We start from the raw sequence: 25,708 nt of genomic DNA on the forward strand, positions 1-25,708 counted from the left end.
ACATTAATGTCTCAGGCTTGGGGATTAGACCCAAGTACTCCATGGCTCCAGGAGAGAGTCTAAGCAGCATACTTGATTCTTTCCTTCTTCTTACCACCCTCCGCCTAATTCCTAGATGAATCCTCTTGGCTACCACCTTAGTTCATCATGTCTGATTGGGCTGTTATAGTCGCCTTCTAATTTCCTCCCTGCCAAAATTTCCTCTTACCTTTCTCCGCAGAAGCTAGCATAAGTTTAACTCAGTTCTTATCCCTCCATGCCTAAGATGTTCTACTAGCTTCCTATCGCCCCTAATAATATTCAAATTTCTTACCTTTGCCTGCAACAGTGGTTCTCAACTGGGGGCTATTTTACCGCCCCCCCCCCACCCCTCCAGGGACACTTGGCAATGTCTTCTGAAGACAATTTTGCTTGTCACTACTAGGGAGAACCTACTGGCCTCTAGTGAGTAGAGTCCAGGAATGCTGCTGAACATCTTATACTGCACAGAATATCCCCCCGCAACAGAGAATGAGATGTCACTAGTGCCGAGGATGAGAAACCCCAGCCTACAGATTCCACAGGAGCTGAGATCTGCCTTGTTCTGCTGCCTCATCTCTGGCTTTTCCTCTCATTCACCTCTGTCCAGACACGCTGGCTTTTATTTCATTCTTCAGACATGCTAAGCTTGCCCACCTCTCAGAGCCTTATGTTCTCACTTTGGGTTGAAACATACTTTTCCTAAATCTTTGCATCTCTGCGTCTTCATTACTCAGGTGTCCGTTCAAATAGTATCCCCTAAGAGAGGCATTCTCCAACGACCTTTACTAGAGCAGCCTCCACCCATTGCTCTATCACGTTAGTCTATTTTTAACTTCCTATATAGCTCTAATTTATCTTATATTTTTTGTGTTTATTGTTAGCATTTTCTCTCTAAATTCGTAAAGCTCTCTAAGGTCTTTCACATTCACTGCTGCCTGCCTGCATCTAGACTACTACCTGGCCCAGAGTAAGTGTTCAATAAATATTTGTCAAATCACGGACATACAAATGTAAAACAATAGAAGATAACTAAGTATTCCTAAAATGTTTGGTGCCAAGAGTGATGCAATGTATCACCAGGAAGGCAGGTTTTTTGTTTTTTATTTTTTCTAGCCCTTGTCCATTTTCAGTATATGGCTCTTTAGTGGGTGTTACCTCCATTTAAATCTTGTCTCTACTGACAGAATGAGGCTTTGGGATGTTCAGCCCATCTTGTTGGTCAGAAAGATAAAATTTTTATCTTTGAACTTATTGTTCTGAAGACACACATAAGAGCAATCACCCTGTGTTCGCTTTTGCTCCCTTTCATCAGGTAGTAGATGGCTGGTAACTGATGGTTCATGTGGTTAGACTTTGAAGCATCCGCACAGCAGCAATGGATGAATTCCTGAGAGCAGATGAGCTCACTGAGGGACTGCTTTTTGAAAAGGAGCTGTCAAAGGAAATAGAGAAAAATGATTAGAAAAGTAATAGGAAAACAAGATGAAACTAAGTCTCTGTAGCCCCAGGGTGATAGAAAATAGCCAATTTATAAAGGAAGTCTTGTTAATGCATCTTTGACATACTATGCTTTTTTACTAGAGGCAGATGTGCCTTTCATTAATCAGTGAATAGCTAAAAATGTTCCTGCAAAGCAAAATATAAACCTAGCGATAACGGGTACCTACAGAGAAGGCAAAGTTGGGAGCACATGGAATAATATAATAATAATTAAAGTATTCAGTTCTTACTTTCTAAAAACATTAACCCTGCTAGGACATTTTCCTAATTATAAAGGGTTTTAGAATAGTCCTAAAATCCCTAATTTTTCTAACATTTTTATTAGGAGAACTTTGACTATTTTTAATAGCTCCAAAGTGTTGGAAATAGAGATCATTTTTGTCCCCTTTCATCATGTGTTGAGTGATTGAGAAATCAGCTAGGGAGATTGGCAAAATCAAGAACTGGGAAAAGCTTCCATCTGCCCCAATCTGATCCAGTCCTGCTTCCATGTTTGGAAATGGTTCCTTGAGCTTATCCACATTTTGTTGGCAGCTCATATTTTTGGAGAATGACAAGTGCTTTTCTCCTTACCACCCATTAGCCATAATCTTGGCCTTGGGGAATGCAAACTGTCTGTAATGTTCAGAATCTGAGGGCAAGTAAGCTGAAGACCAGGTGGAATTGTGGGTGCAGCCATGATATAAGAACTATACTGCAGCCACACACAGAGCTTGCCTGGTGGTGGTATATTTTGTCCCATAATATGAAGACAGAAGGGAAGGAGAGGTCATTTTTCAAAGTAATATAGAGAATAAGAGTTAAACATATCTGAGAGTGAACTCAATTTGTATTGCATTTAATTCCAAGAAAAAGGCACTTCTATAACACCTTTGGTGAGAGTAAATTTTTGTGCCCAAAGTCAGATACTTTCCACAAGGCACCCTAGGCAAGTGTCTATCTTATTAGATCATTACAGTGAGTATACAGACCAGTAGTCTCTGTCCCACTGAAATGTGTTTTCATCTAGGAAAAATAAACTTTTATCATATTTGTAATTTCAAAGGTGGGTTAATTTAATAGCACATTCATACAGGCCACCAGACTAAGAAATAATTTTACCTGACTTACTGATCTGTATTATTAGTAATTAATTGCTACTTCAATGCTGAATAAATCTGAAATAATAAGGAAAGCTTATGATGTTTAGACTTTTTATGTATTTAGACTGGACTGAAAAACTTATTTTTAAGTCTTGCATCTTTAACTTTTTTTAGAAGTTGGAGTCTTGTGATGTTGCCCAGGCTGGCCTGGAACTCCTTGGCCTTCCAAGTAGCTGAGTCTACAGGTGTGTGCCACCGTGTCCAGCTCACATCTTTACATTTTTTTAAAAAAATCAGATTTTATTATACTTGTTTATTTTACCAGTTGATCAAATTCTCAGGGAAATGAGGATAAACTGATTTTTAAAAATTAGTTTTAGTACATGCTGTTATGATTTATTTCCATAGTCTATAAAACTTTAATTACAGAGGTACAATCTCAGATCCTCTGACCAAACAACTTGCATTAAGCTTTTTGCATAAAGGCCTAGGAGACTTGTTACTCATATTTAACCATTGCCTCTAGGCAAACTCATAGTAGCATGGAGGCCACAGCTGTCCTGGATACAGTCTGTCCTCGAAATGCAATCAATCAATCAATCAACCTTCTAATCAAATACTGGCCAGGTGATGCATGGCTCTCACTGAGATGGGATTGCATCCTATTAGGACGTACATGGGTTTTGCATGAGGGGGACCACCCGTCAAGATTATCCACCAGGCTTTTCACTCCATTTAACCTAATTCTAGCATATGGAGCAGGTGCCAAGGAAGTTTTGGGGGATAAAGATAAATAATAGATTTTTCAAAATAAGAGATGTGGCTGTGTGTGGTGGCTCATGCCTGCAATCCCAGCACTTTGGGAGGTTGAGGCGGGCAGATTACTTGAGCTTAGGAGTTTGAGACCAGCCTGGGCAACAGGCAAAACCCTGTCTCTACAAAACACACACAACACACACACACACACACACACACACACACACACACACACACACTAGCCAGGTGTGGTAGTTTGTGCCTGTGGTCCCAGCTACTTGGGAGGCTGAGGTGGGAGGATTGCTTAAGCCTGGGAGGTAGAGGCTGCAGTGAGCTGAGATTGCACCACTGCACTCCAGCCTGGGTGACAGAGTGAGAGCCTGTCTCAAAAGTAAATTAAAAAAAAAAACAATTAAAAACTGAGAGATATGGAAAAAATGTTATCTGAGAAAACCATCAGGTTTTATTTATTAGGGTGACATACTATTTCTCTCTCCCTCTCACTCTGCCTCTCTACTTCCACCTGTATCTCCATCTTTCTCTCTCTTCTTCCCTCCCACTCTTTGATTTGATTTTTTTTCTCATTAATCTTAGGTGGTTTCCAAGGAAGAAAGTTTACGGTAAAGCCATTCATTTATTTATTCAATAAATAGTAACTACTGTCTGTTAGACATTGTGCTGGAGATGTAGATGTTCTTACAAACAAGAAAACCCCTGCTATCAAGAAACTCAGTCCAAAGGACTGAAAAAAAGACAAGAAAATTAACCTTTATGTGGAATACATAGTGTGTCCCAGGTGTTAGCTGGGACCTCCTGGCTCGTTGAGATCTGACTGGAATCAGCACAAAGCTTCCATTTCATGTCCTTTCGAAGCCCAAAGGCTGCTCCCAAGATTTCTGTTGCATTCACAGTCAGCTCTGCCCTGACTTCCTGCTTTCTAATGTACTGTGCATCTTGTAGCTGTTCCTTTATCTCTGTCTTGGCATAAACTCAAGCTTGGGAAACAACTCTTTCTCATCTATTCTCCCTCCCCTACACCACACACAAAGCAATCATAAAAACCAAGCTGATAATATATTGCAAAAACTTGAACTGAGAGTTTTTGGGTCATGGGAGAGCACAGCAATAAACTTCAAATGACAGAGGGCACATTCCTGTTATGAGTCCATTTGCCAGCACCCCCCCACCCCAACCAGGGCCTTCTCACTGTCTGCTTTACCCCACACAGCAGCCATATGCCTGCCAATCTTCTCATCCATCTCCCGGTTCTACTCCTCACATCATCCCTCCTGCACTGCATTCTACCCTCCTTCAAGCTCCAGCTCCAGGATGCTCTTGCTGTCTGTTGTACAGAGTAATTCTGTTCTTTTCATGCATCCCCCAAATTCAAATCCAGGCCCACTTTTTTCATACCTAAATCCATCTTGGTGCTTGGGCAAGGAGACTTTTATGTTCCAGGATCTACTGTCTAGCCTCCATAGAAGGCAATTATGGTTACACAGTATTGTTTTTTCTCCTTCTTTACTTGCACTATGATTCATTTATTCAGTCATTTGACAATATTTACTGGATGTCTGCTATGTATCAGGCACTATTATCGGTGCTGGAAATAAAACCGTGTACAAGATGGCACAGGTCCTGTCCTCATGGATTTACATTCTGGGAAGTACGTACAAGATGATATCAAAAAGTAGAGGGGGCTGGGTATGGTGGCTCACATCTGTAATCTCAGCACTTTGGGAGGCTGAGACGGGAGGATCACTTGAGCCCAGGAGTTCAAGACCCGACTGGGCAAAATATGAGGCCCTGTCACTACAAGATTTTTTTTAAAAAAAATTAGCTGGATGGAGACTGAGGTGGGAGGATTGCTTGAGCCCAGGAGGTTGAAGTTGCTGTGAGCCATAATTGCACCACTGCACTCCAGCCTGGGTGACACGGTGAGACCCTGTCTAAATAAATAAATAAGCCCATACCTCATTCTGGGATGGGAGACTATTGTGGATTATGGAAAGCTAAGTCTGATAGGACAACCAGGATTAATCTAGGTGGATCGGAGGGACTCACGGGCAAAAGTTGGCAGCAAAATTCTCAACCATTCATTTGAGTGGATAGAAAGAAACGGGAAATAGAAAAAGTGGTTTATTTGAGAAGGCATTCATCATCGCTCCCTCTGGCTCCTATACCTCAATGCTCAAGCAATACCTTTAAAGCAGAATTGAGGTATGAGCTCTCTAGGGAGAAAGAAAAGGCAGTCTGCCTCCCCATTTTAGCTTCTGGGTAGAGACGATAGATAGAATAGGCTTGTTTGAGTTGGTTTGTCTTTCCCAGAAACCCTGGAGCACAGCTCCCCCACTTACCCTTGTAAACCCCAAGGGAGGACTTCTTCTATATAATCTTGCCTGAAGAAGGAAAGCTAGGGTATGGCAGAAGGTTTGGTCAAGATCCTAAATTGCTGTGGGATTTAGGATTGGACCCCAGGGCTGCTGCTAGTTCATATGAAGCATTTATAAAAATTTAAATTATATAGCTATGTATCATATATATAACATATATATACACACACATACTTCTGGGATGATATAACCCAAAGCTACTGTTTTACAGGGCTTGGCAAGTGAAAGACCCCCCTCCCCTAGTTCCTCCTGTATTGGGTATTACCTGAACAAATGGTGGCCTAGTTTGTCCCAGATTGTATAGATTTTACTAATGTAGGTTGAACAGATTGATGAAGTTTTTAAAGTATCTGAATCTACTCATGTACTTGAAGAGCAGGTCAGCAGGTCCTTCCTTACAAAGCTCTGAATGATTAGTTAATAACATGGTAGTTTTTAAGGAACTGTACCTCACAGTAAGTACATCTTTTTCCTCTTTATCCAGTTACTTAAAATGACAGTAATAATAGTTAACCATTATTGAGCATAATGGATATGTTCCAGACAGGCACTAAATAGTTTACAAAGATTAATTCTATGAATTCTTATAACAACCTTATAACACAGGAGTGTACTATTATTCCCTTCTAATATTTCAGAAAACAAAGGTTTCAGTGGTTGAACTCAGCTACTGAGTTAATTTCAAGCCCATTTTAGCTCCCACTCTATACTGCCCATTTTCTTTTTTCTCTCCCACCCTCTTCTTTCTTTCCTCTACCTCTGTCTCCCTATAGGAAATAAAAGTCTGCGGAGGAACCACGTAAATATGATTTTCGTCGAGCCACCTGATAACTCTACAATTGACCTTTTAGCTCTGACATTCCCTGAGACTGAGTTTTCCAACAAACAACTTCTCTTTGTTGTTTGGGTTATGCTTAAGAGCCAGCGTTCTGAAAATCCTGGCTTCAGGTTTCCAAACTAGCAGGTTGTGCTCAGAGCCTAATCCTTGCTGGATGGTAGCACATTTCATCACACAAAAACCACAGCTCCTCTTGGTCCTTGGCCTGATGCTCTGCAGCTTCTTTGGCCAACTCAACTAAAAGTGCAGTGGGGAAGCCCCATTCATGGTAATTTCCAGAGAACCATTTGCCTCACTTGGGGAAACGGGTATAGCACAATCCCTGATAGTTTCTGGACAAAAAGGTTCCATGTTTTCCCCTATGCTTTTGGCATGTCTTGGATGATTCCCTTTGGTATGAGTCATCTCCTTAAGAAATCATAAGATATACAGCATTTAACTAAAGTTTGTAACACCAGATTCTCTCCAGAAGGTGTTTTCCTTGATTTGGCTTTTTAATTCTTCTTGATTTGAAAAATCTTTATACCAAAAAAAAAAAAAAAAGTCAACTTAAAACATGGACCTATCCATGCAACTTTAAACTTTATTAGAGAATGTCATATAATGAAGACATACAGCTATTCTATAAAATGTCTAACTATGGTGAAAAAATATGTGACATTCAATGTATTAACTTTCAAATAACATAGCTTAGTGCTCTTGGTTATTGGTTTCCAAAGACTTGCTGAGCATTTCCTTGTTTGGCCTTGGAAGAATTTGCTCTGGGATTTCAGCCTGGCCCTTGACTTGCTGAAAAACCACAAGATGTAGAACAAAGAGAGCAGGCTGAGAAGCCAGTTAGTGAAAATGAAAGCAAGAGGTCCTGGCCTGAGGCTTAGTGTGTGTTCTTGAAAGAAGGAAGTTGCTGCAGGGTCAGGAGAATGTCACTGGAGGCCCTTGCACTTGCTAATGCCAATCAGACCTCATGGGCTCCAGGCAAATCAACAAAGTCTGGAGACGAAATGTTTGAATGTAACTGTTACAGCAATGTCCTGGCTCCACAGAGATGTCTTTTCTCCCAGAGGTTACTGTTTCACCATTAACCATTTAACCATTTTCTCAGCCACTCCTGAGCTCCAGTCCACTCTCCCAACTCAGTAGGAAAAGTGAGTGACAGATTTTCTAAATTAGAGCCCAGACTTCGAAAGGTCACAGCTAAGAAAGCACCCATAGGCATTTGCCTTGCCATTTAGTAAAATTTCTGACCATGATACAGTGATGGGGCAATCTAAGAAGGAAAGGGGACTGGATTTGTGTGGGTTTGCAGAGGTTAAAAGAGCAGTGTCTTCTGGGAGTCCCTGGTGGAGGAGTGATGGGTCTTTTTTCTTTTTAAAGAACTTTAAGTATATACTGACTTGCAATGGGTAGAGCAATTTTTAAAATTTCAAATGAATGGCATAACTCCCTTGTGGAGGCCTCTCTTTTCAAAGTTAAAAACAAATTTTTGCAGAAGCAAGCTCAGACTGATTTTTGAGCCCTCCTGCATTTTCCAGGTGGAAATTCCTTGGCCTTTGAACCCTGACTAAAACGTCAGAGATTATAAATCTAACTGCTAAGTATTATGAAATATAGCGTGGCAAAACAAAAACGAAAACAAAACAGAACGAGAAAATCCACAGAACGAGAGGAGTGAGGAGACCACTGTCTTAGCCTCTATGTAGTTGAGCAAGTCCAGGAGTCTTTCCAGGTCAGTTAAAAGGAGGGACACGAATCATTAGTTAACCTCAAGGGGCCCTTGCAGCTCCTAAATTGTATACTCACATAAACACAACACTCTGTCTCTGGTGGGTTACCACTGTTTTATGATATCCTACACTGTACAGCTAAGTTTTGGACCAAGTTTACAAGGTAGTGTTACTCCCTAAAACATTTTTCTGATATATTAAATTGAACTCTAAGTCCCAGAAATGCTACATAGAAATTACATTGCACTTTGTAAAAGTTGTATATGGCTCCAAAACTGCATTAGAGACTAAAAATATATTTCCAAACTCTTACATGCATGGTGTTCGTTTAAAATGGAAAATGTATTTGTAAAAAAGTACGTTTCTCTCCCGATGGTAATACTGGGTTTATATTATCCATTACCAGTGCTTTCACTGCCCTCTGCTGCTCTGAGGAGGTGTGGAGCGCCAGTCTTTTATATCCCATTGGAGAAGGCCAACTTTTCATTTATGGTCATGATTATTAATGTTCACTGGCATATTCCAAGTGTAATACTATCTGACTTGGAAAATCCCAACAATGAGGTAGCCAATGGCCTGAAACCAAAGAAGCACTGTGTTCCTGTGAACCAGGACTTTCTAAAGTCTTCTGGGGTTTTATTAAGTTCTGGGCGTTCTTTCTATAAGGTCACTAATATATGAAAATAGCTGTTATTTTGGAAGTTGATTACAAGGTTTTTTTTTTTTTTGGTAAAATATCAGTTATTGTTTAAAACATGAAAAATTAGTAGAAATGCCAACAAAAATGATTTGAGATGAGAACCTGGCCTCTTTAAAAAGTAGACTGAAGTGTAATAGAATTTCATTATGGGAATGTTCTATTGTTTGCATTTAACTATTAGATGATTAGCATAAGGAAAATATTGAGCACTTTCATTGTTTCAATTATATTTTTCTATTATTAATTAACAGCATTAGGTAAAATTTCTGTTCATTGTCTAGGACTTCTGTTTAATAATGATAGCAAAAATTAATAATCGACATATATGAGCCTTCTTGGAAATGTACTTGTAATTTGTACTCACTTTCCACCTAGCAAAAGCTTTATCTGAAAGCTGTTTTATTCCTGAATTATAAATTATCAACAGATTTCATTCTCTTAACAATTATCTGTCAAATGCCTACCATGTACCAGACATAAGCATGTAGATGAATAAACTACACTTCTACCCTAAGGTGCTCACATTTTATTCAGAACAAAATATAGATAAATAAATGTTTTATTGAGAAATTTCCAAAGGTCTTGCTATCATATGTGCCAATCAAGAGCCCCAGAAGTTTGATTGTTTCTGATCAAGATCTATGACACAGTCACTAGTGAATAACTCTGTCCCTTAGTACTCTTTAATATTCACTAAATAAAACAATAAGTTTGTATCCCTCCAATTTTTTTACTATATACCCTGTAATAACTTGATACCTCCCTTGGATAAGATGCATGAATGCTTTTACCTTAACCACCCCACATATTATTTACAAATTTGTCTGTATATGATAGAAAGATAAATATACTTCCCATAGCAGATAACCTCATTTCATTATTATAAAGGGACTGTAGTAGAAAACTGGTCTTGCTATATCCAATTACTGCCAAAATAGAGAAAGCTACAAACACTCTAGAACCAAGGTGGGTGGATTTGGCCTATGACCACATAGGCTTTCTAAAGGTTCCCTTCATCTCAGAAGCATTTGCACATGCAGAGAAGAAGTCCTTAGAAGAGGACTAGAACACGGTGGGTGCTTTATAACTCCTTGTCAATAAATGAATGAATAAAGTAATCAATCAAAAAGATCACTTTAGTTTTTCTCAGAGAAATGTCAACATGAGTTCCAGAGGACACAGAATCTTTTCATTTGTTTTGACCCCCAATGATACTTTGTCTCCTTAGACAGGCTTGTTGTTAGACCAACACTCTCTGGGGTGGCAAAAAGCTGGGGTCACTTTGGGACTGAGCACATTCTGGTGCTAGTGAAAGGTCCCGTGAGCACCTTCGCTCCTTCTCTCCCTCCGTGTTAAAATGCAATATGTTATTCTTTGACATGAAGATGAATATATGTTATATTTGATTTCTGAGATTTGCTCAGTGTCTTAAGTTAGCTGTTTTGGCTAATGTTTAGTAAATTACTCTAAACAATAAGCAGATAATTATTATGTGTCTTTTAAACTGAAAACAAAGCGAACCCATGACTCTTAAGAACAAGGAGCCAGAATCCATGGATGGTTATGTTATGCCAGTGTTTTCAAGACAGCAGAGGACTGGGCAACTATCTCAAAGGTCCCAAATGTTGAAGGCTTAGAGTAGCTCTCCTACATCCCACCATCCTTTTAGGCTTTAACTTGAAATGATCAGTTTTACTCACAATGAAGATGCACTGGACAATGTGACTTAGACCTGAGGCTAGAATGGCGCTTCCATATCTTTTAGGAATTAATGTTTATTACATTAAAGCCAATGGGTCTCCAGTGAAAGGGCAACCTGACTTATTCATTCATAGACAGCAAAGCTGGCCTGGAGAACAAAAGCTAGCTGGGCCTGCTAGGGCAGGGTTTGCCTACTTTCTGGGTCCTGAAGCACAAGTGAGCGCATCATCTGTGAACACAGTGGTCTGAGGCAGTAAGAGAAAGACCTGGCCAGCTTTTCCTTTTCAATGCAGTAACCATGGTCTCTGAAAAATAATGGCTCAATGACTCAGTCTCTCTTTAATCAAATTAGCTACTCTTCCCATGCCGAGAAGTGACAGGAGAGATCCAGAAGTGTTATGTTCTCCCATCCATGAGAGGGGTGGACATTCCCTCTTTTGAGAAAGTGTAAGAAGGAAAATAATGGTTTCTTCAACATCACATAATTCTACAGGGATAGACCTCATAGTGTGGTCCCAGTGAGCGTCATAGTACTCTACAGTGGTCTTGAACAGCTTCGTAGGCTTACATGTAGAACTCTATTTAATCTCCACAGAAATTCTATGTAGGAGTTATCCTAACTTCTGACGAGAACTTCCTCAGAACATAAAAGAAAGAGAGGAGACAGAATAATATTTAACTATACTTATAAAAACAATTCTGAGGCCGAGTGCAGAGGCTCATGCATGCCTGTACACTTTGGGAGACAGAGGTGGGAGGATCACTTGAGCCCAGGAGTTTGAGACCAACCTGGGCAGCATGGGGAGACCCTGTCTCTACAAAAAAAGAAAGAAAAAATAGCCGGGTGTAGTGGTGCGTGCCTGTAGTCCCAGCTACTTAGGAAGCTGAGGTGGAAGGATGGCTTCAGTCCAGGAGGTGGAAGCTGCAGTGAACTGTGATTATGCCACTGCATTCCAGCCTGGCTGACAAAGGGAGACCCTGTCTCAAAAAAAAAGAAAAGGGAATTCTGAGATTTCAAGCAGAATCTGATTCCCTTACATTTCCCCAAATAGGAAAATAAAACACTTTTTATGTATTTTTTTCTTTTCCTCCAAGCCCTTCAAACTGTAAGGGCAGTTTGTCTAAACTAACTCAGAAGGGAAACGAGCAAATTTGTCTCTTAGGTGCTAGCTTTGTTTTTTCTCCATCACTTCTAGCATTGTCCTCTTAGGATTGTTGTCAGGTTTACAGAGTCAGCAAGGGTGAAACTGTTTTGCCCACTGCCTACAATTTTAAGTTATACATCTCTAAGTTTAAATCTAGTTCTGTGACCTTGGGCAAGCTACAAAAATCTCCTCAAAGTTCAGTTTACTTTTCATCACATAGTGAGTGCTTAATAATTTCAGTGTCTTTCATTTGAAAATTGGAAACAAATTAGATATTACAGGATCAGAAATACATATTTTGTAAGCTGGCTATCCCCGCTTGCTCACCTGCTTTTTCTCCCCATTCACACCACTTTTTCACACCAATGGTCCCCACTTATTATAACTCAACTTATGATGTTTCAACTTTACAATGGGCTTATACATGCATTAAATGCATTTTTGACTTATGGTATTTTTTGATTTATGATGGGTTTTGTGGGACATAGTCCCATTGTAAGTTGAGGAGCATCTGTAGAGTGAAAAACGTTTGAATTTTTGAGTAAGTCAGAATTATAGAATTAGTAATTCTATATTATTATGTGAATTCTGTTAATTATTATATGAATTCCATCAATTATAGAATTATTAATTCAAGGATTCTATTATACTATTATTAAAATTATAGTACCTCAAATATAAGACTTTCTCAGCATTTTAAAAAGTAGTTTTATTATACATATATACGTATAATGATTCTAGTAAGGCACACACTTGCACTAAGTGTGTGCACACAGAGGTCAGCTTCCTTTCACGGTGGTGCTGATTTTTAAGAGAAAGCCACAGCATAGCACGTATGATATGATACTGGCAGTTTTCGTTTCTGTGATGAGTGAGGATGAATTAATCCCTGTGCATGTCAGGTTTGGCTAACCACCATAAAAATTTCCCTTCACCAAATGTAAATATGTATCTTGCCAAGTACTTTCCACTTACTTTTTAAGCTTCATGTTTTTATTGGAAATTTAACCCATGCGTGTTGAGTTATTTACTGAACTCGGAATACTGTTGGGCAAATGCCAGTTCATAGCCAAAAAATTCCCTCCCCACAAAAGAACCCACCATAAATAGCCACATTTTTTTCTTCTTTCCTTTCATTTTCCTAACCACAATTTTGGATATTAATTAGTATCAGAACTAAAAGAAGCCTAGTTTGGTCCTGAAGTTACATAAAAGCTATATAGGCTACACCAATCAGTAGCCACTGGACATAAAACCTAAACAAACCCCACTGAAATAAGCAATCTAACATCACTCAGAACATAGTTTAACACAAGTAAATTCTTCATTGACCTGTTTTAAGATTCTTCTTTCTTCACAAAAGCAGGAGTCAGGTATTATTGTTCCCATTATACAGCTGAGGACGCTGACTTAAATCATCAACCTGCTTATCTTGGTCATATGATTTTAATTTTTGAAAAGAGAGTTGAGAATGAGAGTTAAACATAGCTAAATATTAAACCTGGACAATAATTATGTTTGAGCTAAGAAAAGAGGCATTTCTACAACACCTTTAGTGGGAGAGTAAATTTTAGTGCTCAAAGGGAATCAGCCGTAGCAAGTGGCATCTGTAGCATTTCTCAGTGGGATGAGATAGAAAATCTCACACAGGTATTGTATCTCAGGCCTTAGAGATTCCATACCTAGTTGTAGTGGTGGCTCTTTTTAGAGCCAAGTTATATAACAGGCTTTCTTGTTTGTGAATATACAGTCCATCCTTGACTCTCTTGCCCATCCTTGGCCACTGGCCCAGCAGAGGCCTAGACCCAGAATATTGTGGAAAACTGGATTTCTTGCCAGATTAGGTTTGACTTCCCTCACAGTTCACTTGTCCACACCTATGACTTCTCCCACATCTATCCCTAATTGATATGTTCAGCCTTGATTTTTCATTTGTCTTCTAGTCTTAATTCAACAATTTGATTGATTTTAACACATCCCTTTGCTTGGATACTTGCTAGCAATGTTCTCACATACAATCAATGTTAATACTGAAAATTTTGAAAAGAGAGCTGGGATTTTAGGGTTTCTTTCCCCAGATTTTGATTCTTTCCCTATGTTTCTTTCTTCTACCAACAGCATCACCATTATTAGGACTTTAGATTCATCCTTGACTTCTGCTTCTCTACATACCCTATCTCTCACTAAGGTGCAGTTTGCTTCAAATGTTGTCTCTTACCTCCTTCCTGGGGTTATTACAGATAACTCTAATCCAGGCTCTCATCACGTTGTTTTTGCAGAACTTTAATGGTTTCCTTGTTTCTCTATCTTCAGTCATCTCCTGTCTAGTCCATCCTACACACTGACTAATCTCCCTAGAGTGCTTACAAACCAATAATAATTTCTCATCACTACTGGATGAGAGCCAAGTGTTACATTCTGGCATTCAAAACTCTTTTCAATATGGTTCTACCCCAGTAATCCAACCTTACTTTCAATAACCTGTCACACACACCTTGCACCCACGTGAGGCCACCCTCTGCACCTCCAGGAGTACACCAGACTCTTTCCCACCACTGTTCTGTCATACTTATCTTATGGGCCACATATCGCTCAGTCATTGGGCTAAAGGAGCTAGACAAAGACCAGCACACAGAGTAACAAATAATTTGGGTGACAGATCCCAAAATCTATGTAGTACTACTGCTAGAAGGAAGACTAATCAACAAGTAGAATAGAGTTTGGGCACCTATGGCAACAGAAAATTTGGGGTTGTCTGGGCAAGAAGTTCCTTTCAGAAAAAGCCAAGCTTTAAGAGTGGGAATAGGCTGGCATATGAATGACAAACAGAGATGAAGGATCCAATACAACCATTATGAGGAACTTAAGGATACACACAGACAGGACTTGGGATATCTACTAACAAGTGGTAGCAGAGTCCAAGCAATCAGGCGAAATTCAAGAGCAGGACTTTCACCCCCAGGAAGGAGGAGGAGGTGCAAGGGGAAATTCCTGTCATAGAAGAGCTGGGTTACCACACAATTTATTAAGGGCACAATTAAGTCACAAAGAGTAAGACACACAGGGATATAGTTACAGGATTAGTTCCCTAGCACAAGGCAGAAGCCTAATCATCAAAACTTGGACTCTGGATCAGAGCCAACCAGCATTAAGTGACCCAGTCTCATACCCCAAAAAACACAGGGCTAAGAATATGTGCTCCACAGCCTGAGAGGGAATCTACCATAGTAAATGCCTTTGAACTTGAATTTCATTCTCCTGCCACTAGCTGTATGATCAGACACAAGTCCCATAACTTTTGTGAGCCTTACTTTCCTCAAAGTCAGGAGAAAAATAAATATTTTACAGATTTGTTGCAAAAATATAAAAGTGCCGGCTATGGAGACTGCCATTTATTAATAGACTCCCTGTCCCCTACCAGAGCTTTTGAAATCTTTCTTGCCCAATAACTGGATTGACTCTAGTGACTTTGTGTCCAGAATTGGTGGGTTCTTGGTCTCACTGACTTCAAGAATGAAGCCGCGGACTCTCGCGGTGAGTGTTACAGCTCTTAAGTTGGCACGTCTGGAGTCTGTCCCTTCTGATGTTCAGATGTGTTCGGAGTTTTTTCCTTCTGGTGGGTTCGTGGTCTCGCTGGCTCAGGAGTGAAGCTGCAGACCTTTGCAGTGAGTGTTACAGCTCTTAAGGCAGCGCGTCTGGAGTTATTCATTCCTCCCGCTGGGCTCGTGGTCTCAAGAGTGAAGCTGCAGATCTTCGCGGTGAGTGTTACAGCTCATAAAAGCAGCGTGGACCCAAAGAGTGAGCAGTAGCAAGATTTATTGCAAAGTGCAAAAGAACAAAGCTTCCACACTGTGGAAGGGGACCCTAGCGGGTTGCCAATGCTGGCTAGGGCAGCCTGCTTTTATTCTCTTATCTGGCCCCACCCACAACCTGCTGATTGGTAGAGCCGAGTGGCCTGTTTTGTCAGGGCGCTGATTGGTGCATTTACAATCCCTGAGCTAGATACAAAGGTTCTCCACGTCCCCATCAGATTAGTTAGATACAGAGTTTCCACACACAGGTTCTCCAAGGCCCCACCAGAGCAGCTAGATACAGAGTGTCGATTGGTGCATTCACAAACCTTGAGCTAAACACAGGGTGCTGACTGGTGTGTTTACAAACCTTGAGCTAGATACAGAATGCCGATTGGTGTATTTACAATACTTGAGCTAGACATAAAGGTTCTCCACGTCCTCACCAGAGCAGCTAGATACAGAGTGTCGATTGGTGCACTCACAAACCTTGAGCTAAACACAGGGTGCTGATTGGTGTATTTACAATCCCTGAGCTAGATAATAAAGACTCTCCACGTCCCCACCAGACTCAGGAACCCAGCTGGCTTCACCTAGAGGATCCCGCACCGGGGCTGCAGCTGGAGCTGCCTGCCAGTCCGGCGCCGTGCGCTCGCATTCCTCAGCCCTTGGGTGGTCGATGGGACTGGGCGCCGTGGAGCAGGGGGTGGTGCTCGTCAGGGAGGCTCGGGCCGCACAGGAGCCCATGGAGGGGGTGGGAGGCTCAGGCATGGCGGGCTGCAGGTCCCAAGGCCTGCCCCGTGGGAAGGCAGCTAAGGCCCGGGGAGAAATCGAGCGCAGCGCCGGTGGGCCAGCACTGCTGGGGGACTCAGTACACCCTCTGCAGCCACTGGCCTGGGTGCTAAGTCCCCCATTGCCCGAGGCCGCAGGGCTGGCCAGCTGCTCCGAGTGCGGGGCCTGCCAACCCCACGCCCACCCGGAACTCCAGCTGGCCCGCAAGCGCGGCACGCAGCCCCGGTTCCCGCTCACGCCTCTCCCTCCACACCTCCCTGCAAGCTGAGGGAGTGGGCTCCGGCCTTGGACAGCCCAGAAAGGGGCTCCCACAGTGCAGGGGACTGAAGGGCTCCTCAAATGCCACCAAAGTGGGAGCCCAGGCAGGGGAGGTGCCGAGAGCAAGCGAGGGCTCTGAGGACTGCCAGCATGCTGTCACCTCTCAACTTGAGGAGACACTAGCCTTGTGGGTGGGATCCAGCCATTCTCCTGATGGCAGGGAAGAGCTTCAGAGGCTAGAAATCAGACATGTCTGGATCATAATCCTACCTTGTCTGTGGAGCATCAACTCTGCCCTATAGAAATTTCTGCATTATGTAGGCCTTCTTTGAACGTATATCATGGTGAGTAGTGCTTGACCTTGTACAGTGTTAGCAATCCCACTTTTGACATCTCTAAAGCAACCCTGTAGGTTTATGGCATTGCCACTTATAATTTTGCAAAGACATAACTTCCACTCAGGAGTTCTGCAAGCCTGGTTCCAGGTAGTAGGTTACTAGCCAAGTGAGTGAACCCAGCAAATAGGACCTCATATATAGTCCAACATAGTTTTGTTGTTATCAAGTTGCCGTTGCATGAATATTTTATGAGGGAATTATATGCTACTGTAGAATTTGTGGATTGGGAATTTTCTAAGATCTTTGGGTGAATTCCTTGAAAACGTCAATGGCTTATGATGTCATAACTTATTGATTTTCTAGTTGCAACTTGCTTCTTGGCCAGATTTGCCCATCTAAATTTCAAGCTTCTCTAGGAATGAGCCAAGTCACATCTTTCCCTTTGTTCCCCACAATTTAGCCCAAAGTTGCCCTCAAAGCAAGCATTTAACCTGCAGTTGCTGATTGATTGAATTACTGTATCTTGTTGTCATTTTATTTACTTTTTAGAATTCTAGATAATCATTTTCTCTAATTGTTCAGTTGCATCAAAAATAAAATATGACCGTTTCCCTAGCATAGTAAAAAGTGCAGTAAAACACAAAAGAGTTGGGTCTAGCATTAATTTTTTGACAAGAAAAACATGACAAACCATTTGCAGGGAAACTTCGGCTATACCTTATCCTCGTCACCAGTTGGCTTATGAATAATCAGGGTAATTTATATTACCTTGTTCTGTTTACTATATATATGTGTATTCCAATGGATTTTCCACTTGTCCCAATGATTTCCTGAAACGGAAAAACATTCAACTTCATTTACAAGGTAATGATTATCAGTGCCCAATCAAATCTCCCTGCTTCCAGATTTTTTAAAAAATGTTATTTATTTTGAGAAATGATGCCAGGACTTTAAGACTAATCATAGGTACAAATATACCTGTGTATTTCATGTGAAATACTCCTGCCATGACACACACACACACACACACACACACACACACACACACACTTAGCCCATTTGTTGAAAAGTGCCTGTAACCTTTTTATGTATAGGACTCCCTTGTCCAACTTATTGTTTTATCCTATGTAGTGCCCTTGAATTGAATTCTGCTTTTCAATAACACTGGCCCGCACACATAGCGCATTCTTACATCATTTCTGATGCCATTGCTCTAGTTGAAATCTTTATTGTTTAACACCTGTACTGATGCGATATACTCCAGAGGTGATTTTGGATCGGCCTCTTTCGCTTTCCAATCGTTCTGTGCATTTTGCTTTCTGGCTTGCAGCTCCATGGCACCTCTCATCTCCTTAGCACAAAACAAAAACACCCCTAGAATATGGCTCTGACCTTCCTGTCCAGACTTGCCTTCTACTATTTTCCCTTACCCTCCACAGTCTCTCCTGCTTAGCTATCTCTTGAATAGTGGCTATGCTTTCCTACTGCCGTAGCGTTGTTTTGCCAGTACTGCTTAGCATCTTCTCCCTTCCTGTGGAAAGAAAGAATTTTGTCACCTACAAAAGTCTTTGTATGCTGTAAGGCCGGGTCTCAAGGTAATTTACTTTGTAAACCCCTTTCCTGAGCCAATGACCTAAAATCTCACCCTCAGCTCTAAGTCAGAATCATATACTACCATCTTGTTTATCAAGTACTTACTATTGGCTGCCTTATTTTCTAGTTGTTTACACATGCAACTTTTTACTAGATTGCATGCACTTTGTGGGCAAGGCCTATCCCTGGCCTAACTTTGTATTTCCGTACTGTTTATGACAATGTCTTGCCAATGATATGTGCTCAGTAAATATTTGTTCACTGGTTGGATATCCTTTCATTATCTATACTATATTTTCAGCACAATGACAGGGTAGCAACAGAGGCATCTATTGCAGGAGGCCATACAAATTGTACCTCAGAAATTCATATAACCAGGAATTATAGTCTGAGCAATTACTTTAATAAGTTAGAATCTCTCTGTAATTATAGGTTACAGATGGTGACATAAAAACACTAGGAGGTCAGGAAGTTTCTTCCGCACTCAGCATACTTGAACTAAAAAGAGTGGACATTTCATAATTCTGAGCACCTTGGTCTATTGCTTGGTCTGTGCCTCGTGTTATTCTCAAGAAAGGAGACTGGATCTCAACCATCACTCATCCACACTTGTGTTATCTTTAAGCACTGTAGAGGAAAAAACTCTTTTGGAGTTTGAAGAATAAAGTTGGATACATTGCATAGTATATGCGGTTTTTAAGCTAACTTAAAGGGAAAGCTTCCTGAATGAAAATAAATCATATTAGTTTAATGATGGCTGCTATTAATAATGACATATATACCCATATATAGTATAGTGTAGTAAAAACTTTTCATCTGTTTTCTGGAAATCTTGATTTTCAACTCTTTCTAATGTATTTTTCTTTTGGGGGCCCACTCAGACCTTACAATATGTCTTCTAGAGGCACAGAGTGAAAAGCCTTGTTAGTCTGCTGATGTGCCTTCAGACCTTCTCCGGACTATTCCTTGACCAGAACCATCCCTTTTCTAGCTGGCTTTTCTGGTAGAGTCTATCCACACTCCTAGAACTGTCTACTGTTTGCTTGGCAAGGTCTACCTAGATCCTTCCTTGGCCTGCATCCTCCTGGGAGCTGTGGGGTCACCATGAGCCTTGTTACTTCTTTCTTTTCCCCCCTTCCCCAGCACACACCCACACATGCCATCATTCCACCGACTGGACTAATTTTATCAGAAACTAGACTTGTAAATTAACAGAGACATATATGATTTCACTTACAATTTGAAAAAAAAAGAACTTGATTAATAAGTGTCAGCATCACCATTCAGAGTATCTATAACTATCACAGCATAAAGTAGCTGGAAAAGAAGCACATATATAGAATCCAGTGGTTTTCAGATTCCAATTTATAAAATGGATAAAAGTGAACCTGGTTTAGTTAAAGAAGGGAGGGAAAGAGGACGCTGCCTCTTAGGCCTCATCCTGGTGGTGGCATGTGTGGCATGCCATCTGCACATAAGCCTATGAACCCCTAATCTGAGTTACATGAAACACTTTGCCTATGTGGAAACTGAGTCTGGAATGGTTAAGCGACTTGCTCACAGTCACATACCCAGTTTGTGGCAGAGCTGATTCTCAATCTCAAGTTACTAAGCACAGTTTCCTTTTTCTGGGCTTTTCCCACAGCACCAAATAACTGCTAGATAAAGCACTCTTTCCTGCTCATTGCGCTGGTCCAGTTTATCTCTGTGCCCAAGAGCAGTTTAGAAGAACTAGCATTTTCCATGCAAAAATCTTTGTTGAAGGAGATTCATGATTAACTGAAATCACCCAAAGTACCACAAACAATGCAACAAACCATGAAGGACAGCACAGCGTGTGTTTTTATCTGACCCATTTGTTCCAGGATGGGCTCTCTAGTTGAACAGCCTAACAGCCCTGCAACCAACCTGTCTCATAAGCCCTGCACAGAACAACCCAGCAGAATTCCTAAGCCTGCTCACATAAACAACCAGAGAAGTTAATCATAGGCATGAGAGACTTTTGGTGGTGGCCAATTAGAGCAGACCCCCCACAGAGCTTCATCATAGGGTAGCCACGTCAATGTCAATACCCTCCTCCGTGCAACAATCCTTGTGATTAATGTAATTACCATAATTACTGACCTCTCTTCTGAGAGTCTTGGCCACATGGAAGAGTTGAATGTTTTCCCTGAATGCGTTGTCTCCATACAATGTATGCCCTTAATTATAGAACATGATGTCATAAGTTCTGATTAGGGGGTTGCCCTAGAGGAGCTGAGGATTGGCCCCAAAGGCATAAGGGGGCCAGTTCAACTCATAGCCCACCCTAGTCCTCCCGGTCACATGCAGGTAGCCAGTTACTTGGTAATTAACAAAACAAGCTTGTGGTTGTTGCTGTCGTCCATTTTACTCCTATGTCTTTTGGGGCCTTCTTGGGAAATAAAGGCTTCCTTTTTCCTCATGTACCTCATAATTATTGTGCCCCAGAACTGCACATAATTATTATTATTTTTCCATTCAGGAGTTAATGCTTCAGCCAAACAGGTCTGGACGGAAACCCAGTTTGCGTTCAGAGGAAAATAGTTGACTATTCTCAGACTAGACCACTTGAGGGCGGCATTGCCTTAGGAGAGTGTGTTTTGACCAACTAATACATAACCTAAGGAGGAAATATGCAGCGTGGGTGTCACAGGCACATCACTGTAGTTCAGGGAATAAAACCACAAAAAATGAGAACATACTTCCAGGGAGTCAACTCACATTTAGGAATGAAGGAATAAATGTCTAATTTTAAATGTGGTTGCAAAGTTTTTTTTTTACATAACAGAATTGCTTGAGGCAGGCGCGCTGTAAACCATTTATATGGGGAGGGATTTATTCTGTGAAATGAAGTGCTATTGAAAAAAAAGATAATGTCCAGTGCAGTGTAGGAACAAAAAAGGCAAACTAAAATATATTGCACAATGAAGACTGGGGACAAAATCATGAGTATGTTTGCAGGTCTTCATAACCCTCTCGGATGCACATAGTTCTTCACCATGGACATGTCCCCATTATAACCTCTTTTAATTTGGCAGGGAGCTGCTCCTTTGCCTTTCCTTCATATTTTGGGGGTCAATCCAGATGAATGAGAGAAAATAAAAGAGGGGGAAGAGAAGAGAAGGAGGATGGTATGCCCCTCTGTACTTGGAGAATCACTAGCGGTGGTCTCAGTCACAGGGAGACAGACTGGTTCCGCTCATCTCTGATCCTGCCCCAGTAAATTACTTGCAGATATCTTTTTGGTAGTTTTCACAGGATGCTAATAAACTGATCAGCCTAGTATGCTAGAGATATTTAAGTTCTCTTTCCAAATATCACTGCATACATACCTAAATAACAGACCAATCATTGATTTCCAGAAACCTGTCTGGAAGGCATTCTACATTCTTTCCTTTGCTTCTTTTTATGGGCCACAGAAAGAACACGATAGTTCTTGAATACATTTCCCAGATTGTCCAAAGAGGTCAAACTCTTAATGTTAAGCACAGTTCTTTTGAGACTGTGGTTGTGGGGGAGAAATTAAAGAAAGATCTGGAAGCTAATGGAAGCTACTCAGATGAGTAGCTTCTTTAGTGCAACCTCAGCTGGAACGTCAGTGACTCTTGAAAATTCTTTCTTCCCTCCCAAGTCAATATCCTATCAAATTGCTTTCTGTATTTTTTTGCAAATCTCCAAACAGAAACTCATGGAACACAGAGGTAATCTTGGCTACTTTGCAGAGATGGCCAAGGAGATTAGGTGTGAACTTCTCCGGTTTTCTTCCCTTCATTGTTAACTTTGCCTTTATTCATCCCTTTCAGTCTTTTCCAGGATCTTGTTCCATCAAACATCTCCCTACCTCCACCCTTTTCTTTTCAACCTTTTCCTCTGTACTTAATGGGGAAAGTTCTTTACCTCATTTCTCTTTCCAGCATCTATTCTCTCTGCCTCCATTCACACTAGATTCCTTGAAACAGGTCTACACCAGACACCCCCATGCTCTGGCCTTCCTTTACTATTTCCCTTGCATTATTTTCTCCGGAAACTACCCTTTAAACCCCACCCATGAGCTACTCATCTCCAGGTGGCTCAATGGTTTCTTCTCAGCTCTTCCTCTTAGTGCATTACATTCCTATTACCATGATGGCAGCATTGATCTAAAATCCCCTGACCTCTCTCCCTTTGAAATACTTTCTTCATCAGAATTCAATAACAAGCATACTCACTCGCTGAACATTTCTCCTTAGTCTCTGTTGGCCCCACTTCTACTTCCTCCTTGATATAAGAATTTTTCAGTACTCAGCCCCTTTATCTGCTGTGTTCTTTACTGAGCTCATAGAATCCTACAACTTTAACTACCACCTCTTTGCTCATAACTCCTCAGTAATATTTCTAACAAGCTACGTGCCTGCCCTTCCAACAGGATATTTGTCATTTCCACATCTATGTCCTATATCATAGGCAAACATTTCCAAAACAGAACTCATCTTTCCTGCACAGCCTCCCCATATCCTGGTCCCAAACTGAGTTCCCCTCCTTACCTTTCCTCAACTCTCAAGTCAAAATTTCAACTATCCTTGACTTCCCCTTTGTCATTTGTAAGTTGACTGGACATGGGGAGCAGAGGATTATGAAATGTCTTTTCAGAATCCCCCTTCTACATGCGTTGAGAGTACTCTATTTCCAGCCTTCATTTCATCACCTAGACTTCTGAAAAGATCACCAAACTGGTGTCTCTGTCATGAATCCCCTCTTCCTCATTCCAGCCCAACCAATATTTGGCCATTAGCTATTTTCCAAAACAGTCCTTTCCATACAAAAGAAACTGGTAACATTAGTTGCTTCCAAAATAGGTGACTGGGAGACGCAGATGTAAGAGAGAGAAAATTTACATTATGTACCATCTTGTTCCTTTAAAATGCTGTGCCTTATAAATACATTAGCTATTTAGAATAATAATGTTTAGTTTAAACATTAGATATTATCTGTTTAATTAAAAAAATCCTCTTCAGTTATTCTTCTGCTCAAAATCCTACACACATTGCCTTTGGAACAAAATCAAACTTCATCATATCGTTCAAAGCCCCTAAAATGACCCTTCTACTTTTCCCTTTACTCTGCTTTCAGTCTGCCCTCTGACACACTCCACAGGCCAGACACAGGCCAGCACTCTGGATTCTCAGGCTTCCAAACCTTTGTTTAAACCATTCCCTCTGCCAGTGGTGTCTTTCTTCATCCCAAATTGAAGTCCTACCTTCCTTCCAGCTTCACCTCAGATGGCACCAATTCCAAAGTACTTTTCCAGATCCCAGCATTTAGAACTACTCCTTCCCTTCTGTAAGTTTCCTGGCCTAAGCACTTGATGAGTCTATCAAAGTCAGCCTGGTTTTGTAGTTATTTATGCACATGACTGTTCTTATCTTTGTATATTTTGCACTGCTTGGTTCAATGCATTTCACATGATGGATACTTGGGAAGTGTTTCTGAATGTCATTGGTCCTCAAGACACTGAGAAATCCAAAATTAGAACTGTTTGGATATGAGACCCACTGGCATCTTTTTGTCATTTACTATTGTTTGTCATTGACATTAAGAAGTACAAAGCTCAATGGGTTCCCTTTAGGTCAATGCTTCTCCTAGTGTGGTCCTAGACCTGGAGCACTTGCTAATGTGAAGATTCCCAGGCTCCAAGAAACCTACTGGTTCAGAGTCTCTGGGGTAGGATATGGCAATCTGTAGATTAAATACGTATCCCAAGTGCTCCTTACGTACACCGAAGCTTCAGAGCCACTGCTCTAGTAGGATGTAGCAGGGTTTGGGGGAAGGTTGTAGAGGCAGATAATCCTTGAGGTTTGATCCTGCTTGTCTGCTCAGTGCTCCTTAGCTTCTGCCAGTCCTTCAGCCCTGCTCCTCAGCTGGGTTCATGCTCCTGGCTATGCCTCGTGCTCCTGGAACATGATTTGCCGTCTGTCTCTCCTTTCAGAAGACAGCTGAGCTGTCAAGCTCTGACTCCCTGTGGAAGCTGTCTGGTGCTGGCACATTTTGATGGAAGAGGGATGCCTCAGACTTCAACAATAATCTCATCTTTTTTCAGTCTTCTCTTCTCCCCTAAAACTGCTGTAGGCAAGTGACTATCCTCTGTGTTGTAGACAGGAGGATCCTGTGTCAAGAAAACATTGAGACTTGCCTAAGCCACTGACATATTAATAGAGTTAATGTCAAAAGCCTTGTCATCCAACTGGGCATTCTCAGTGACACTGTGTCAATCAGCAAGTCAATCAATTAACAAGTGTTTAATCAATGCCAATTAGGCATCTAGAAGTGTCTTGTTTAACATCTGCTGGCTGGGCTGGGCCCTGCACAGAACTTGGTTCAGTGTCCTTACAGTATCCCTGATCGAGGATCTAATTCTGTACCATGTCATCCACAGTTGGCTGCCTTTGTGGTCACACCAGGTTGCTGGGCTATATTTCATGTGAACACCACCATTTACTACATTATTCTGTAGGCCCTAATGAAGTTAAGAGGAGCAGGATACGGGGGCCAGCTATTTAGCCCTCCGATGTGAACAACTCTTCAGCAATCTTAGCTTGATGTTGTACCTCTCACTCTGTTAGGTTTTCCTTGCACTCCCATTGAATTAAAATTAGAAATTCTGTGGACAAGGATGTGACTCTATGAAAGAAACCTTCTTCCCCTCTGCCAATCCATATACATGTAAAATCCCCAACCCCCAGCATAAATGACCTTTGTTCTCACAATTTTAAATCCTTTTATAGGTTACAATTAATATTTAAACCCACCCTATGGTCCCCAAACCTTTCTAAAAGTAATCAGCCCATAGGATGCCCTCTTGCAAAAGGCTACATTTTCTATACTTACATTTTCATTTATTTTCTAATAGTCACAGTGGAAACTGTAACCATGAATGTACAACTCAGTAATCCAGTTAAGACTTGCTTTTTTCTGCCAACTTACTCTTTTATGAGCCAGAGATAGTAAAATAAGTCCGACATGTTTAAAAATGCCAATTCAAACTTGAATTTCTATGCCAAGAATGTTCTTTGGGTTAG

General features: G+C 41.1%; 1 protein-coding gene and 1 long non-coding RNA gene across 6 annotated transcripts in view, besides 1 other annotated feature; one reads left to right on the plus strand and one right to left on the minus strand.

Annotated features, from left to right (window-relative positions):
- Positions 1-25,708, plus strand: part of SYNPO2 (synaptopodin 2) — a 210,567-nt gene that overhangs the window by 110,063 nt on the left and 74,796 nt on the right. The gene's annotated exons all lie outside the window — the stretch shown is intronic.
- SYNPO2-AS1 (SYNPO2 antisense RNA 1) lies at positions 1,139-23,976 on the minus strand. Its single transcript, XR_939120.3, has 3 exons — positions 23,890-23,976; positions 17,808-17,869; positions 1,139-1,453 (listed from the first exon to the last, which is right to left on the minus strand). It is a non-coding gene; the product is annotated as an SYNPO2 antisense RNA 1 (long non-coding RNA).
- Positions 7,324-7,373: an enhancer, noted in NCBI's record as "active region_21851". NCBI's record gives its function as "activates an Ori minimal core promoter by ATAC-STARR-seq in GM12878 lymphoblastoid cells {active_cell/tissue: GM12878}" and the evidence as "EXISTENCE:reporter gene assay evidence [ECO:0000049][PMID:35858748]".

Source organism: Homo sapiens, chromosome 4, assembly GCF_000001405.40.
Source record: "Homo sapiens chromosome 4, GRCh38.p14 Primary Assembly".
Lineage (NCBI taxonomy): Eukaryota > Metazoa > Chordata > Mammalia > Primates > Hominidae > Homo > Homo sapiens.